This window comes from Homo sapiens, chromosome 2, assembly GCF_000001405.40.
Source record: "Homo sapiens chromosome 2, GRCh38.p14 Primary Assembly".
NCBI classification, from domain to species: domain Eukaryota; kingdom Metazoa; phylum Chordata; class Mammalia; order Primates; family Hominidae; genus Homo; species Homo sapiens.
The window spans coordinates 213,035,262-213,051,723 of NC_000002.12; the positions used below are offsets into that span (position 1 = coordinate 213,035,262).

At 35.4% G+C, this 16,462-nt stretch overlaps 1 protein-coding gene across 30 annotated transcripts in view, besides 1 other annotated feature; it reads right to left on the reverse strand.

Annotated features, from left to right (window-relative positions):
- IKZF2 (IKAROS family zinc finger 2) overlaps positions 1-16,462 on the reverse strand; it is a 152,759-nt gene that overhangs the window by 35,564 nt on the left and 100,733 nt on the right. For all 30 annotated transcript variants that reach the window (NM_001371277.1, XM_047443727.1, XM_047443725.1 and 27 more), the window contains one exon: positions 14,452-14,619. In NM_001371277.1, coding sequence (NP_001358206.1) covers positions 14,452-14,619 — 168 coding nt within the window. The remainder of the gene's footprint in view (positions 1-14,451; positions 14,620-16,462) is intronic.
- Positions 2,622-2,891: an enhancer, noted in NCBI's record as "active region_17059". NCBI's record gives its function as "activates an Ori minimal core promoter by ATAC-STARR-seq in GM12878 lymphoblastoid cells {active_cell/tissue: GM12878}" and the evidence as "EXISTENCE:reporter gene assay evidence [ECO:0000049][PMID:35858748]".

The following is a 16,462-nucleotide window of genomic DNA, read 5'->3' on the forward strand; positions in this document are numbered from 1 at the left end:
TCCCTGTAGCAGTCAACATCTTCTAACATATTATATGATTTTTTAACTGATTCTTGCCCGTCTCCCCTTATTAAAATGTAAGCTCCACAAAGACAGTCTTGCAGTCCACAATCTCACAGAGCTTACATTCGAGTGAGGTGGGATGGCACAGACAACATGTGTATAAACTAAACACCAACATAACCACAGATTCTGATTCAAGCTTTTTATTAAGATAGAGATAGCAAAATAGAACTAAGGGGATGCTTCTGGTAGGTTGCTTATGGATGCCACTATTTTCAAAGAGATGACATTTAAACTAACATCTGAAAGATAATAAGGCAACTATGCCAAGATCTTGGGAAAACGCTGAAGGTGTTGACTTCTAGGATCATCCATTAGTTCAAAAACAGTAGGAAAGAATAAAGAAACCTCGGGTTGCAAAGAACCCAGAGTGAGGCGTAAAGTAGTAGAAGATCAGACAGTAGAAGTGGGCAGAACCACCAATGGCCATGATTAGTAGTTTGATTTTATTATAAAAGCAATGGAAAACCATTAAAATATTTTAAGAAGAGGAGTGACATGGTTTAAATCAGATTTTAAAGTAACATTCTGGTTGCTATCTGGAGAATAGATTGGGAAGCAGGAGTATAGTGGCTGAGAGCAGAGACCCTAGATTCAGACAGACCAGAGCTTATATCTCAGCTTTCATGAGTATATTGGAAGTTGGATAAAATGTAAACATATAGTTATCAAGGTATGATTTTTTTTGCTATATCAGATCATAATTTTTAAAGTACTCTCACAAATATAATTTATACTATTGTTAGATTTATTTTGTTCTAAGCTGCTATATGTCTTCAAGCCTCATGATAGATTTTTGTTTATAAGAGCATGATACAATTCTTGTTTTATTGTGCTGTGGGTGTGTATGTGTGTGTTTGAAATCTAATCCAATAATACATTGTTGCCAAACCATGGAAAATAAAAGAAAAATAAGGTGAAAGTATAATCTGTATAAGCTGAGGAGGCATACATGTAATATGTAAAATGACTGCGTGAGGACATTAGGTAACATCTCTTTCTTTAAACTTGACTCTACTTATCTGCAAAATAAGGCCCTTAACATAATGCTTGTCACAAAATAAGAACTTATTAAATATACCCATAATTTTTAATTTTTGTAATAGACTAATACTTATCATGTACTAGGAAACATACTCAACCACCATTGACCTCCATGAATCTTTAAAACCTTTCTAGTTAATATAAGAATATTCAAATAAAATAATCTGTCCATTAATTCATTCAATCAATATGGTATATAAGGGATGAAGATGCAAAATCTCTTCTTTGAGATGCTGGATCTAGGACCTTTTATTCTTATCCAGTTGCTTATAATCATTATCATCATATTTCTATACAATTTAAAAGGACTCCACTCTGATAGATTTCTGATACCTTACATAAAACTTTAATTATATTCTAAATATATTTTACATGCTTATGATGAATGATACTTGGTTTTTATCTTTCTTATTTGTCTGATTTTCTACCATTTGAGAGTTTTCTTACAGTATTTGGCAAGATAGTATAGGCTGTGGATGAACAGGTTTCTTTGACTCACATACACAGATCAAGTAGGAAAAATTGAAAGAAATGGTAAAGGTTAGGTTAGAAAAAAACATCCAAACAAAACACACCACACACACACACACACAAGTCCCAGTGTGTCATGCCCTTCTGGATACTAGGTGAGTAATAAAGTTTGCGTGCAGCCTCTCCACTTCTGTTGTGGAGTTCCAAACATGCCAGGCCTGCAGACTCATGGTGTGGAAGGGAAAATGTGAAATGGCCAAAGTTAAGACTGTCCACACTAAATCCATGCAGGGTACAAAACTGTGGTAGCAAGCTTTGGAATGAGGACAGTGTAGATTATTCAGAACAATGAGAAAGCAGCTAAGAATCTTGTCCATTTCTTTAGAACTCCTGATAATAAAGGAGGAAGGAAAGCTTCCTACAATAAATTGATCTTCTAAATGACTTGCACCAAAGTGAAAAGAGCTGCATAGAATTATAAAAGAAAGGCTTATTAATTCCTTCTAGAAATAGGGTCTGAAAGAAGCATGACTACTACAATTCATAAAAGATGTGATTGTATATGCTATTAAAAGTTTTACTTTCTTTTATTAGAAACAATAACGAAGAGTAGATACATAATGGTTATTGGTCTGGGGTAGGGGGAAAGAGGCGTTCTACCTGGTGGAAATCAAATGGGCTGTCTTACAGCCGGCCTGACTGAAAGTGGCTTTTACCTTCTAGGTAAATTTCAATGAGTAGGACCTCAAGTGTGTGTTTTAAGAGTCAAGAATGAAAATATTAATCCCATCTCCTTTCTTCAGTGTTTATTGCAAAGCATACAGTGAGGCACCAAAGGCATCAGTATCAGAATTTGATGGATGAAATCAGCACAGCACAGTTATGCAAATCATGTGTGCAACTGACACTGCTTGTGTAATTATCAGTATAATCCACCTCTATCAGCCACCTCCAGGAAGGAAAGGAGGGGCTAAGGGTAGGGAAAGTTCACACTTGGGAGATCACCCAGAAAGTGGGCCAGGTGCCAGGTCTACAATCAGTTTAAAATAGTTCCTTCTCATGAGAAGCCTGCAAGACAAATTATACTACATTTAATGCACCATCACTATTATGAATGAGCTGCACTGGATTCAATTTCTAAACCAGCATAATTTAATTCAATGTTTCTATCCTTAAAAAAAAAAAAAAAGTCATGGTGGTCTGTTTTGTTTTGTTTTCTTTTCTTTTCTTTTCTTTTTTGAGACAGAGTCTCACTCTGTCACCCAGGCTGGAGTGCAGTGGCAGGATCTCTGTTCACTACAAGCTCCGCCTCCCAGATGCACGCCGTTCTCCTGCCTCAGCCTCCCGTAGCTGGAACTACAGGGGCCTGCCACCACGCCCAGCTAATTTTTTTGTATTTTGAGTAGAGACGGGGTTTCACCGTGTTAGCCAGGATGGTCTCGATCTCCTGGCCTCGTGATCTGCCCGTCTCGGCCTCCCAAAGTGCTGAGACTACAGGCGTGAGCCACCGTGTCCAGCTGGTCTGGTTTTAAAATAATGTAAATAGGAAAACAACCGATTATCATAATCTTCTGGCCAAGTACCTAATTTTCAGAAATTTTTGTCCTCAATCATTCCACAAAACTATCACTACTATTAATATCCAAAGGTGTATAACTTGCAGCTATCCCATCTTATACAAAACATTTTGCATGATACATACACTGAAGAAGTTATTTATGTACTTTTTTTCTGGAAGTCATTACAAAAAAAAAAAGTGAAGTAATATGGAAGCAAATGGATGAAGGATTGAGGGAAAAAGAATTATAAGAAAGACAAGAAAGAGCAGACCACAACACTCAAAAGAAGAAGGGAAGATAATTTAAATAAAACAAAATAGAAACTGGTGTATTATAAAAGAGAGTAAGTGATGACAAATGCTACAGTACATTAGAAAATACTTTAGCTTATGAAATCACTGATCAGTTGTCAATTTAAAGAAACGATGTGATTGTGATAATAAATTCCTTAGTAAGAGACAACAATGCGTTTGAGGGTACACTACTCTCATGACAAATTAAGAGACTATTTCTATGAGATTTAAAACTAGAGCAACTAACATTATGTTGTTTCTTTAAACAATATGGTCAAAGATGAGCTCCATCTTGATCCAAGCCACATGGTAATTTTTTTTTTTTATTTTTAAGAAATTTGAAGATATGAAGAAGACCATCTTGTCTTACCAGTTTCTCTGAGGGCATGTAGCATATACCTTAAAAATGCATGTTAGTTTGAAATTCTATTAAAGATAAATGTGGAAATATATTTAAACATAGGATGAGTCATAATACTTTACAGGAATTTTCTCATAATAGGTGAAGGCATAACTGAACAAAATATAAACTAGGCTATTTAATTGGGATTTTTAAAAGTCAATATTAGGAACTAGTATAAGCATTCAATATTTCTGAGCTATTTTTGTGGATAAAATATAGTCCTTGGAACTATAGGGACTTGAAAAATAAAGATAGTCCATATATATATATATACTAAAAATGTTTTTTAGTTGGGAGGAAGTTGTTGTTTTAACAGATGGGGATTTATATGGTACATCTGGTCCAGTTCCTTTTTATGGAACAGAATAGCTTTAAACTGACAATTAGACATAAACAACAAACTTCATAAGCTGAAAATTGTCAAACACTGAGTAGGTCACAAAGTAGTGTTGTAAAAATCAACATTCCTAAAGTGTTTGGAAGTAAGATAGATACATGTTCAGAATAGTTTAGGCATATCAACCCTAAGTCAAAAGAACTTTGACATTGTAAGGTTCCTCAAATCTCTCTTACTCCAAAGTTATGTGATACAGATAACTAATTTTACAAAGTAGTTATTTTTAAGTGATATACACAAATAAATAATTATATCATATGCTCAATGCTGGTTCAATTGAAAGCTGAGGTTTTACTTAGAATTTAATAGCATTATTGAAAATATGAAATAATTATTTTCTTAAAATGAGGATGAACAAAAATATTAGAAAACAATTCCTTTACTTATTTTCTTACTTAAGGACATTTTACTTATAAATCTTTGAAAAATAACTTAGTTTTAGAACAAGTATCTTAAATATATGGTTCTCTTAATAAGTATTTGGCTTTTTTAGATTTATAAGAGACAATGAATAAATGTCTTTGGGAAATTAAGATTTTTAATTTTCAAATGTATTTGGATGATTCCGTTTTTGAGCAATACATAATTTTCATAGTAATCTGAACCAGTATAATTCTTAGCCAAAATTGAATTTTTCATCTGGTAGAAAAATATTTTGAGACTCTATGAGATGCATTCTGTTTTTTTAACTTTTATTTTAAGTTCAGAGGTACATGTGCAGGTTTGTTATATAGGTAAACTTGTGTCATGGGTTTTTTTTTTTTTTTGGTATAAATTATTTTGTCATCCAGGTATTAAGGCTAGCACCATTAGTTATTTTCTCCTGATTCTCTCCTTCGTCCCACCCTCTACTCTCCAATAGGCCCCAGTATGTGTTGTTCCCCTCTATGGAGACACATTCTTACTCATCATTTTTCTCTTTATAATTTATAAAAAGAAATGTTTAACACACATATATGTTTCTCATATATTAAAATTATACACTCTTCTGTTTTAAACCTTTAATTTGGGTACAGCATAAGAGTATATACAAAATATACCTGAAATGCTAATTAGAAAAAACATGTAATTCTATTTCCTCCTAGAATTTTTAAAATAACAAGTATGCTAAATATTATTTTGACTAATAGGGGTCCAGGGCTTAATTTAAACACTATCCCCTCAGAGTATTAGGTATAATAAAGAAAGTAAAAGGTGTAATATATATAATGTACAAAATATAGTAATCAAATTTATAAGAATGAAAGAACTATAATCACCTATAAAACTGAAAAATCTGAGACAAAACTAATAAAAATCATTTTTGTAGCAGAAGCATTGATTCATCATTAAATAGTCACTTAAGGGTGGGCGCAGTGGCTCACGCCTGTAATCCCAGCACTTTGGGAGGCTGAGGCAGGCGAATCACCTGAGGTCAGGAGTTCAAGACCAGCCTGGCCAACACGGTGAAACCCCGTCTCTACTAAAAATACAAAAATTAGTTGGGCGTGGTGGTGCACGCCTGTAATTCCAGCTACTTGGGAGGCTGAGGCGGGGGAACCACTTAAACCCAGGAGGCGGAGGTTGCAGTGAGCCGAGATCACGCCACTGCACTCCAGCCTGGGCCACAGAGTGAGACCCTGTCTCAGAAAAAAAAAAAAGTCACTTAAATACTATGTTAAAAGTTCACATGAAGCAAAGTAGATGATTTGTATAGTAAATCTCAAGATTACTGAATAGCAAGAGTTTCAAGTATAGACTAATACCTTTTATTTTCCTATAACTTTATGTAATGTATCTCTGGGACATGTTTTTAAAAGTGCAGTTCACTTTCTCAGTGGGCTAATAACTTGACTGTAATCTTTTTTTGGGGGGGGTGGGAGGATGGAGTTTCGCTCTGTCACCCAGGCTGGTGTCCGCCTCCCGGGATCAAGCAATCCTCCTGCCTCAGCCTCCCGAGTAGCTGGGACTACAGGCGTGTGCTATCACGCCCAGATAATTTTTTGTATTTTTAGTAGAAACACGGTTTCACCATGTTAACCAGAATGGTCTCGATCTCCTGACCTCATGATCCGCCCACCTCGGCCTCCCAAAGTGTTAGGATTACAGGTGTGAGCCACCGTGCCCGGCCACAACTTGACTGTAATCTTTAGCTGATCTTTGTTCATAAAACATTTCAATTATTTATTTGTCTCCCCTTTCCCTCTTCTCCTTCCCCTTCTTAAAATGTCATTTACATTTCACATAAAAAAAGTTATTATTTTTTTCTTTCTTAGACACTTCAAGGCTATCAGATGTAGGATATCAGACATTAGTAGACAAGAAATATTGGCACTGTGAAGACTCAATATAAACCTTAAGATGTTAATTCGGTTTCATGAAAACTTATTTTAAAATAAACTAGGGCAAAATACTAAAACAAACAAACAAACAAACAAAAAGAAGTAATTTGGAGGGAGTGGAGACTACTCTTTAAGGTGTGGTAGTAGTGACTGATTAGCAAAATCCAGGGAGAAAAGATAACACATTGTAGTTCGCATCATATAATAGCAGCACCAGGAGATTTAAAGAGTAAATTAAGTGACTTGACAACGTCCCATAGCTAATTTGCAGCAAGGCCACCCTAAAACCCACATGCCTTGATCTCCTGACTTCTAGACAGCACATTTTTTTTTTCAATCATTAGGAGTTACTTCAGTAGAGTTAAAGCTTTATAGAATAAACATACGAGCTGTGTCATTTATCACTTAGCAGGGTGTGATGAGCACAAATTGTGGAGTTTGCTGCCTTAGTTTAAATCCAGGGTCTGCCTGTGTGACTTCTTTTCTGCCTCAGTGTACAATAGGAATAACCAAAGTGAGAGGTTCTCATAATGAACCTGCCTCTCCATTCTCTTTGTAAAACATACTAATGGATAACCAAAAACACTGAATTCTTGGAGCTCATACGTTCTTCTTTGGTACGTCCGAGTATACTTCTAGCAGTTGAGCTGTATGTGTAGTCACTAAGAGTCAGGTATGACTGTAGCAAAACCTATTTATGCCAGTTTACCTGCTATAATTATTTCCAACGAAATAATTACAAAAAGAATACTGTTTCTATGAAACCAAATTTTACCACTTTGAAAAGATTCAATAAAGATAAGCTGATAAAAATATTTCTAAAGAAGTGAATGTGGGCAAAAATAATCATAAAAATTAGTGAAAAAATCTTTAAAAATGAATAGAAGTCTGACTGCTTCACAGGATCTTTAAGTTCTTAAAGACACTGAAAATGTAACTAAAGATAATGTGTTATGGGTATGGTTTAGACCAGAAAAATTACATGCTATTCAACAACCAAATTTCTCACTGAAAGAAAAGAGCTTGGCCTTAAATAAAAAAATAAATAACAAAATATATATTACATTTATATTTTTTAAAGTAAAAACTTTTCAAAACTGCATTTTCCATGTTACTAGACTTATTGCTATTAATCTACAATCTCTTTTTGCTTATGTTAGATAAAAAGGTTTTTTATTAAAGAAACCATGGAAAATGCTTAGTACAGTGTCTACTGTCTAGGGAAAGCTCAAGAAATTCCAGATAAATAACCTAACTACCAGGCCTATGCAATAAAAACCAAGACACTACTTGGTGTCCTCTAGAGGACAAGAAGAGTTCCTAAGCAGAAAAATACCACCTTGTACAGGGATCATGCAAGGTAAATGAAATACACACACACACACACACACACACCCCTAGTATTTACTTAATACATATTGTATTCCAGATATTTTTCAAAGTATTTTTCATTTCTTAAACTGTAACATCTATCACAGTAATGTATTCATGCACATCTGTGCTGGGCTTGTTGTTACCAACCTACTAAATGAAAATCAAGATGAGAAATTTTTAAGTCTACAATATAGGAAGCAGAAATGTGGTATTAATATCCAACATGATAAATAACAATACAATAAAACAATGGACAGTTATTACCTGGAGGAAAAAGGGAGGCTAATACTTTCTACCAATAATAATATTCATAAAAACAGAGATTAAATTTAAAATCATTATATTCCCCTTAATACTCTATATCAGCAGTTCCCAACCTTTTCACCACCAGGGACCAGTTTCATGGAAGACAGTTTTTCCACAAATGACAGGTGGTGGGGGAATGATTTCAGAATGAAACTATTCCACCTCAGATCATCAGGCATTAGATTCTCATAAGGAGCACACCAAGTAGGTCCCTTGCATGCGCAGTTCACAATAGGGTGCGTGCCTATGAGAATCTAATGCTGTCACTGATCTGACAGGAAGAGGAGCTCAGGCAGTAATGCTTGCTCACTGCTGCTCACCTCCTGCTATGCGGCTCAATTTGTAAGAGGCCACCCAGTGACTGGTACTGGTCTGCAGCCAGGAGGTTGAGGACCCCTGCTCTATACTAGTAATTTTAAGCACTAGTTCTTAAATTTTAGTTAATCTGTGGCACATTCTCTGTTTGGCTGCCATAGCCATTTTCCACACTTCTTTGCTCTGCTCCCGCAAAAGCTAATTTTTATTGGCTTTAATCAATTGGCTCCGTTGTCCTCTGGCTTCTGGTTAAGTTTAGTCAATGTGAGGCACCAGTAAGAGACTGAAGGGTGGAAAGAGTGAGGTCAGGGTGTTTATTCCCCAAGTCACAGGTTAGCAAAGGCTACATTCTTCTACCGAAGGTCAGTGCTCAAGACCCTTTCCTATTTCTCTTAATTCCAGTGACCTCTAGATCCCCTTTCTCTTTCAGGCTAGAGCTAGTAAATGGCTTCCTACTACTGTAAACCCAGCCATCTTTTTGTAGACTACCCTTATTCCTAACCATTCTTTTGTGAATATTTGTCTTTCATGCATGTCCCCAAATTTTCCCCACTTGAGTGTCTTACTGTTTTCTTGTCAGGATCCTGACTGATAAAGAGTTACTGATATCAGAAATGGCCCAAAGCTCCAGTCAAAATGGAATTCAAGGATAGCAGGATAGCCTCCTTATCACAGAGTTAATGGGACAGTAGTGATCCAAGGCATGTGCTGGCAAGATGATTATTCAAATTGTCACTGGTGGTAGCATGGAAGGATGTACGACGCAGGGTAAGGCTTTGGGAGCCATGGCATTACTTGCTAAAGCAGCAATGGTAGTGTATAAAGATTACAGCATGATATGGCTGATGGCCCTAAGGAGCACACAAAGGTGGAAGACAAACTGAGTGCCTGGAATACTCAAGTCAGAATACAGGCAAAATACAAGAAAGTTTATGTCAGCTTTAAAAGGGTCCCTTATCCACTTAAGCCTCAAGGCAAATAAGGCTGAAGACCAACTCCAGAATCTGATTTGAAGGGTTATAGAATTGCAATGCTAAATACAATGGACAATACTAAGACCATTAGTTTTTGGTAGTGGGGCAATGATGAGAAAGCAGAGAAACATGGGATGGTAGTATCTTCTCCCTCCCCCTCAACAACTTCATTGAGGTATAGTTAATATACATAAAACTGTAGTAAAAAAACAAGAAAAATAAAAAATATTATTTCAACATGTAGCACTAGCCATATTTAGGTGTTTAGTAACCACATGAGGCTAGTGGCTACCATATTGGACAGCGTAGCCCTACAACTATCACCTCTCCCAAGACAGCAAACTAAAAGAAATAATAATTCTATGGATGAATAACAGACAGTAGTGAAACCATCAGAAAACTGAAAGATGTTAGGGGTGATAATTCACACTATACACCCATTTAAACTGTTTATTAGGCTAAGGCATGGCATTGATGCAGACTTAATCATTTCATAATGCTAACTGTAGATGCAGTTTTAGCTGTACAATCTTTACTGGAGCATATTAACATAGCCACTGACACTAGGTATGAAGCAATGAACTTGATTTCTGTTTAAGGTAATTTGTATAACAAAGATAATCAGAAGCAGTTTTTTCCCTTCACACTAGAGGAGCAACATACTTTTACTCTCTTACCTTAAGGCTAGGTCAACTCTGCTCTCTTTGTCATAACATAGTCTGGAGAAATCTTGTTCATCTTGACATTCCAAAAAACATCAAGCTGGAATATTATATTCATGACATTACACTGAGTGAACTTGGGAGCAGGATATAGTAAATACCTGAGATGCCTCAGTAAGAGATATATGCTATAGAATAGGAGATAAACTCCAAGAAAGTTCAGGGACTTTCAGCATTGGTAAAATTTTACAGGCCACTGATCTGTGCATGCTGAAATAGATCCTCCATTGTAAGTGAGAAATTGCTGCACCCTGCACCTTCCTTCGTGAAAATGAAGCACAAAATGTGGTGGCCTCTCTAGATTTTAGAAGCAACATAGACCATATTTGGGTATACTTCTGTGGTGCATATACTAGGTAATCCACAGGCTGTCCATTTTGAGAGCAGCCTGGGGCAAGAAAAGGATCTACATCATACCCTGCCATGATGAAAGCTCCCTCTACTTTTGACTCTAAGATTCAGCAGATGCAATGATTTTTGGAAATGTCTGTGGCAAATGGAGATGCTGTATGACATCTCTGTCAATGGAAGCCTCAGTGTGTAGATCCCTCGTGGTTTTATAGTAAAGACATGCAGTTTTCTAACAATAACTAATCTCCATTTGAAAAGCCACTCCTTACTTGCTAATGAACTTTGGTTAAGACTGTGTACTGGGCCATAGGACTCGGAATGACAATGTAGCCCAAACCGTGCATCATGAACTAGGTGTTATCTAATTCAACATATCAAAAATGTACACAACAGCATTTCCTTGGTATATTTTCCTTCCCTGCAGCCTTCTTATGCTAGTTGAGGAAGCCCAAGTATACTGTATGAGCAAGTAGCTCAGAGGTCCCTAATACCTGCTACTACTGCTTCTCAATCTTTTTGCTTCAACCCGTATGTATGGCCTCATGGGGTATTCTCAGTGACTAGTTGATGAGGATGAAACAGTGTGGATCTGGTTTGTAAATAGAATGTCTGGAATTCAATACCAGCTATGACTATGGTGTTTACAGGTCCACTTAAGGGAGAGGGCCCTGAAATACAGTGGCTATCCCACCAGCAGCCAGAATTTCATTCAGCTAGTACATTTAACTGCACACTTTGCATGGAAGAAGAGATAGTTGAGGTAATGACATATGGCATGGCCATATGGTCAAGGACTTCAAAGAACAAAATTGGACGACTGGTGACAGAAAGTCTAGGGAAGAGTTATGAGGATATATCCTTCAGAATTGGTACAAAATGTAATGATATGGTATTCTATGTAAATTCTCTCCAGAGGGCATTCACTGTAGTGAAGGCTGTTAGTAATCTGAAGGGGGTAATCTCATGAATCTCAGACTCTTTACCAGGCTTACCTGGTACTTTCTCAGTGGGCCAATGTACAAAGTGACAATGGGAGTAGGGACACAGAAACTATGAACAGATTCAATTACATGGACTTCCTCTTCTCTATGACTGATTTAACTACCACCACTGCTGAGCTCACAATTTTCCAGTGCTGAGACCCTGATATGGCACCATTCCTGAGAGAGATCAACCAAGCAAGTAGTGGCAGGCAGGTTACATTTGACTCTTTCCAACATGGAAGAGGCAGAAATATATCCTAATAGGATATGCCTTCCCTTTCTCTTCAATATTTTTGCAAGCTCCCTCAAATATGGATTTAACAGAATGCCTTACCAATTACCCTTGTATTCCTTGCTATACTGCCTTCAACCAGGAAACTCCTTTTTATGGCAAGACAAATACAATTAGCGCAAATCTATAGAATGCATGGGTCATACATACCCCATGTATCACCACACAGAATCAGCTGGCTACATGGAGTGGTGAAATGGCCTACCAAAGGAGTGGTTCATGTATGGTTGCCAGCTGGGAGGAGTTTGGGTGTGTTCTACAGGATATTATATATGGCCAACATCATCTCCTCCATAGCCAGAAGGCATGAGTCTGAGAACAAAGAGGTTAAGGTAGAGGTGGCCACTCTAATAACATCAAATAACCCATTTAAAGGCTTTTTACTCTGTGTCCTGAAACCTTCAGATTGGTGGTTTTGGAGATCTCAGTTCCCAAAAGAAGAATGTTTTCTCCAGGTTTCAGAGATCTGGTCCTGTTGTATTGGAAGCTGAGAATACTCACTAGCTATTTTGGGCATGTCAAGCTGCTAAATAAACAGGGACTGGCTTATAATTTTTCCAGACTACCAGAATGATTTGGAGCTGTTGCTATACAATGAGGACAAGAAGAACTATGCTTGGAACTCAGGGGATTTACTGGGGCATCTCTTTAGAAATACTTACCTCATAATTTTGGTTATTGAAAAATTATAGTAATATAAGAAAGACAGGACCACCGAAGACTCAGAACCTATAAAATTTTAGTCACCTATCAGATAAAGAACCTTATTTAGCCGATGTGCTAAACAGAGTAAGAGTAAGGGGAAGATGTATTTGATTGGAAGAAGAACACTATAATGATCAATTTTGAGCTTTCTGGCAACTTAGAGGAGCAAAAACTGTAGCAACTCTGTTTTATGTTCTATCTATTATGAAGAAAATTAGGGATGGCTAGTATTTTAGATTCCAATTGGAAGCATGATTGAATTGGTATCAGCTCTTGGTGATGCAGTAGCTGGATGCCCCCTCTCCAATAGGGACTCCATTAAACTCTCTTGAATTACCCAATTTGAATATATCTATTTATATATCTGCAAAAATCATAACTTGATATACTAAATTGCAAAATGAGCACGATGGCAGTTATAAGGACCATGTCTTTGTTTATGAAGACAGATAACATAATATGTACACACAAAACCATGATATTAAAAACAACATGATTTCAACAAAAATAAGATGGATGTTTAAAGTTATTTATTACATGAAGTTGAGGCAAAACTATATGTTCACGAAGATCTATTTGTTATATAATGTTTGGACAACTCAATAATAATTTAACTCTGGCTAGAGTACATGACAAGCTAATGGAAATGCCTATCATGTCCTAGAAGTATATTTCAATAAAGAACTTTTCATAAGAAAACACTGCTTTAAGATATAATTTTGATAGCACAATTTTAAAATAAAACATAAAATGTTGTAGTTGGAAGTAAGTGAATTCCTTTAACTCAGGGAGGAAAGAAAAATATATACTTAAAATATTTTGTTTTCGTGTTTGCATTAATTTAATTTTTTTGTAACTGCCCCAAATTTAAGAGTTAATGTTTAAAATAGTTTTACACGATTCACATTCATGTTTAAAAACTTAGTACAGCCTTAAGGATAAAAAGGAAAAATGTAAAGAGAGATAATACAATAAGCATTATCTCACAACCTCAGCACTCTCTAATACGATTTGTCAATGTAGATTAAAATATCACTTCCATCATATCTTCATATTAAAATTAAAATTTAGTATGTCATTATGAACAGAAGAAACAAATAAAACTAGCTTGAGAGTATTCTATATTAATTTTCCACCTTTAACTTCTTGGTTATGAAAATTTATGCTAAAAGTCAAATGAGATTCATTTGGATTTCTGATCATTCTTTTCTCTTTTATGTGTTATATTCTGGCATTTCTTAAAAACATTAAATTTATTTTTTTCTTTTATTCCCAAGAATTTGTCATATTCTACATTTTTTAAATGATTTATGAAACACAGCAAAGTTTCAGAGTACCCAATGACTATTGTTTGAGAGCTAAAGATACAAGGAGAGTTAAAATTAGAATATAAAATACTCGAAAAGCCAATTTTCTGAGTATATTTTCAAGTTTAAAAGAAACAATTTTATTTTCCACAGAGATCCCAGCCTGAGCACTGTATCAGTCAAAAAAAATCAGTTTTCATTTCCTCTACAGTAACTCGAAACATAACTGATATTATACTGGATCTTCACTTATCTTGGATTAACCATAATGACTGCATTCTTAATTGTAAAATTTTAAAATTATAGAAAATATATAACAGCTGTTTTCTTATTCTAATATATTGAAGTAAGATACTCTTCAGTTGACAGTGCTCCTTTCTGCCAAGCCGTAAAGTCTAAAAATGAAAGATACATGCATCCTGCAAGATTTATCAATTATTTAATGTACACCAATAACAAGATTGTCTTGGTCATTACCGACTACATAACAAAGCCATGTTACTATCATTCAATAGTACTCTTCTAAGTTTTCCTGTTTTACTTTTCTTCTCAAGGAGTTGGTGACACTTACCAGAATGGGTCCTGAGGTGTCCTGTGAGGGCGTCCCTTCTTCTACAGGCGTAGCTACAGAAAGGACATTTGAACGGCTTCTCTCCAGAGTGTAACTTTATGTGTCTCAGAAGGTTGCCCTTCTGAGTAAAAGAAGCTCCACACTGGTTACAGTGGAAGGGGCGTTCACCTGCAGTAAGGAGAAGAAATGGGAAGTATCAACTAGGGTATGTGCAAGTGACTAATTTGCCATCCACTGTTAACCAAAGCCAGTTCTCTATGCTAAAAATGTTCATCTCCCTCATAAGTCTTTTAAACATTTATCTGCCCAGAATTTGCTTTGTCAATACAGTTACCAAAGTCTTAAGTTTTACATCAAATGATCTTTCCCCTTTTATGTATAAATGTGACAAAAGTCCTATCATTGACTCAGAAGAATAACAATAATAGCATTTATCATTGGTTGAACAATGAGGTGCTGTCACTTTAGGGCCTTACACACAATTGGATGCTTTCCATAGAATATTTCAATCCTTTCTTACAATGACAATAATTAGGTTGTTTTAATTTTAATTAACAAATGAAGAAATTAAAGTCCATAGATCAAACTATTTTGTTACACAGAGCTAGAAAGTAGTCAAGGTGAGAAATGAACCTGGTCAGTTTGGCTACAAAATCTTGTTCTCTTTCTTTTACCATGCTATCTCTTTAAAATTGGCAGAAAATTTGAGCTGAAAGAGACCTTCAGTCTAATTCCCTCATTTAGCTGATATGGAAAGGGGCAACTAAAAGGTACAGCAAATGAACCAGCTTACAAAGCTCATTAGTACAAGATTTTCAAATACGGGCCAGGTTTCTTGATTCTCCTGGTCACTAATAGTAAAACCTTTAGCAAAATTTCCAAATAAAATTATTCATCCAGACATGTCCTGTACATGTTTTTTGTGAAACTTATTATTTGAAAGGAATCTTTTCTCCCCGTTTTTCTATTACTGATATTGCTATGAAGTTTTTAAGCCTCAATTATAAGTTTGGTCTGTTGCCATCAACTGACTCACCAATGTCATCAAATATAAAAACATGTACGCAATGAAGCAGTACAACTGGCAAGTAGGATCAAATTGATAGCCTTATCAAACCATAAAGAAAATGCTATTATTTTAAATTCACCTATCACTAAAGATATACATGAAATAAAATAAAAATTCAAATATAAGTAAACAGTAAAAATGTATCATACTAAAGCTCTAAGTTTAGAATAAAAAGAACATTACAAAACAATTCCCTTTTGGTTGAACTGGACCATTTCTTTACCTGCAGTTAGATGATGATTCTAATTTTAATAGTTTTTCAAAAAGCTTACATTGAAATGTCATGTTTCATATATCTTTAACTGAAACACACATAATAATGAATAATAAAAACTCAAGGTTTTTTGGCCCTTTGACATAATGCAAACTCAATGATTCTTTTATTAAAGAAAGCTAAGAGGTATAAATAAGATAAACTATGGTCACTTTCTGGCAGCAGCTATTGAAAATTCTATCATATAGATTTGTTATAAAACCTAGATAAATTTAAAAATTGGTAGATCAAGTATATCTCAAATTCTGTAGTATTTAGTGTTTTGGGAGTTAATGAGGTACATACCAAAAAGGTGTAATCTGTGGGTGTGGTGGGGGTTAAGGTTTTTTCTTAAGAAATCTGGAGCTCTTATGAGCTACATGTACAAGAGGTCCTATATTGATAATATTGGATTGAAAAAAATCTGTAATGTTAAAGTTCCCTTAAGTGGTATCTTCTTAGTTTGATTAACCTGGTAAGATCTATATCTCCTCATATAAAGTCTTCCAACATAAGGTTTTAAAATAAATTGAATTTTGGCAGATCTTTTTTACTTTTACACACAATATACAACTTGATTATTTGATTCTCTTTCCTAATGGAATCACAGGCTGCAACTTTTTAAATCAAGAATTTTCCACTCCCAACCCCTGCCATAGTAATAAAAGGAAAGATGGAGGCACTTCTTT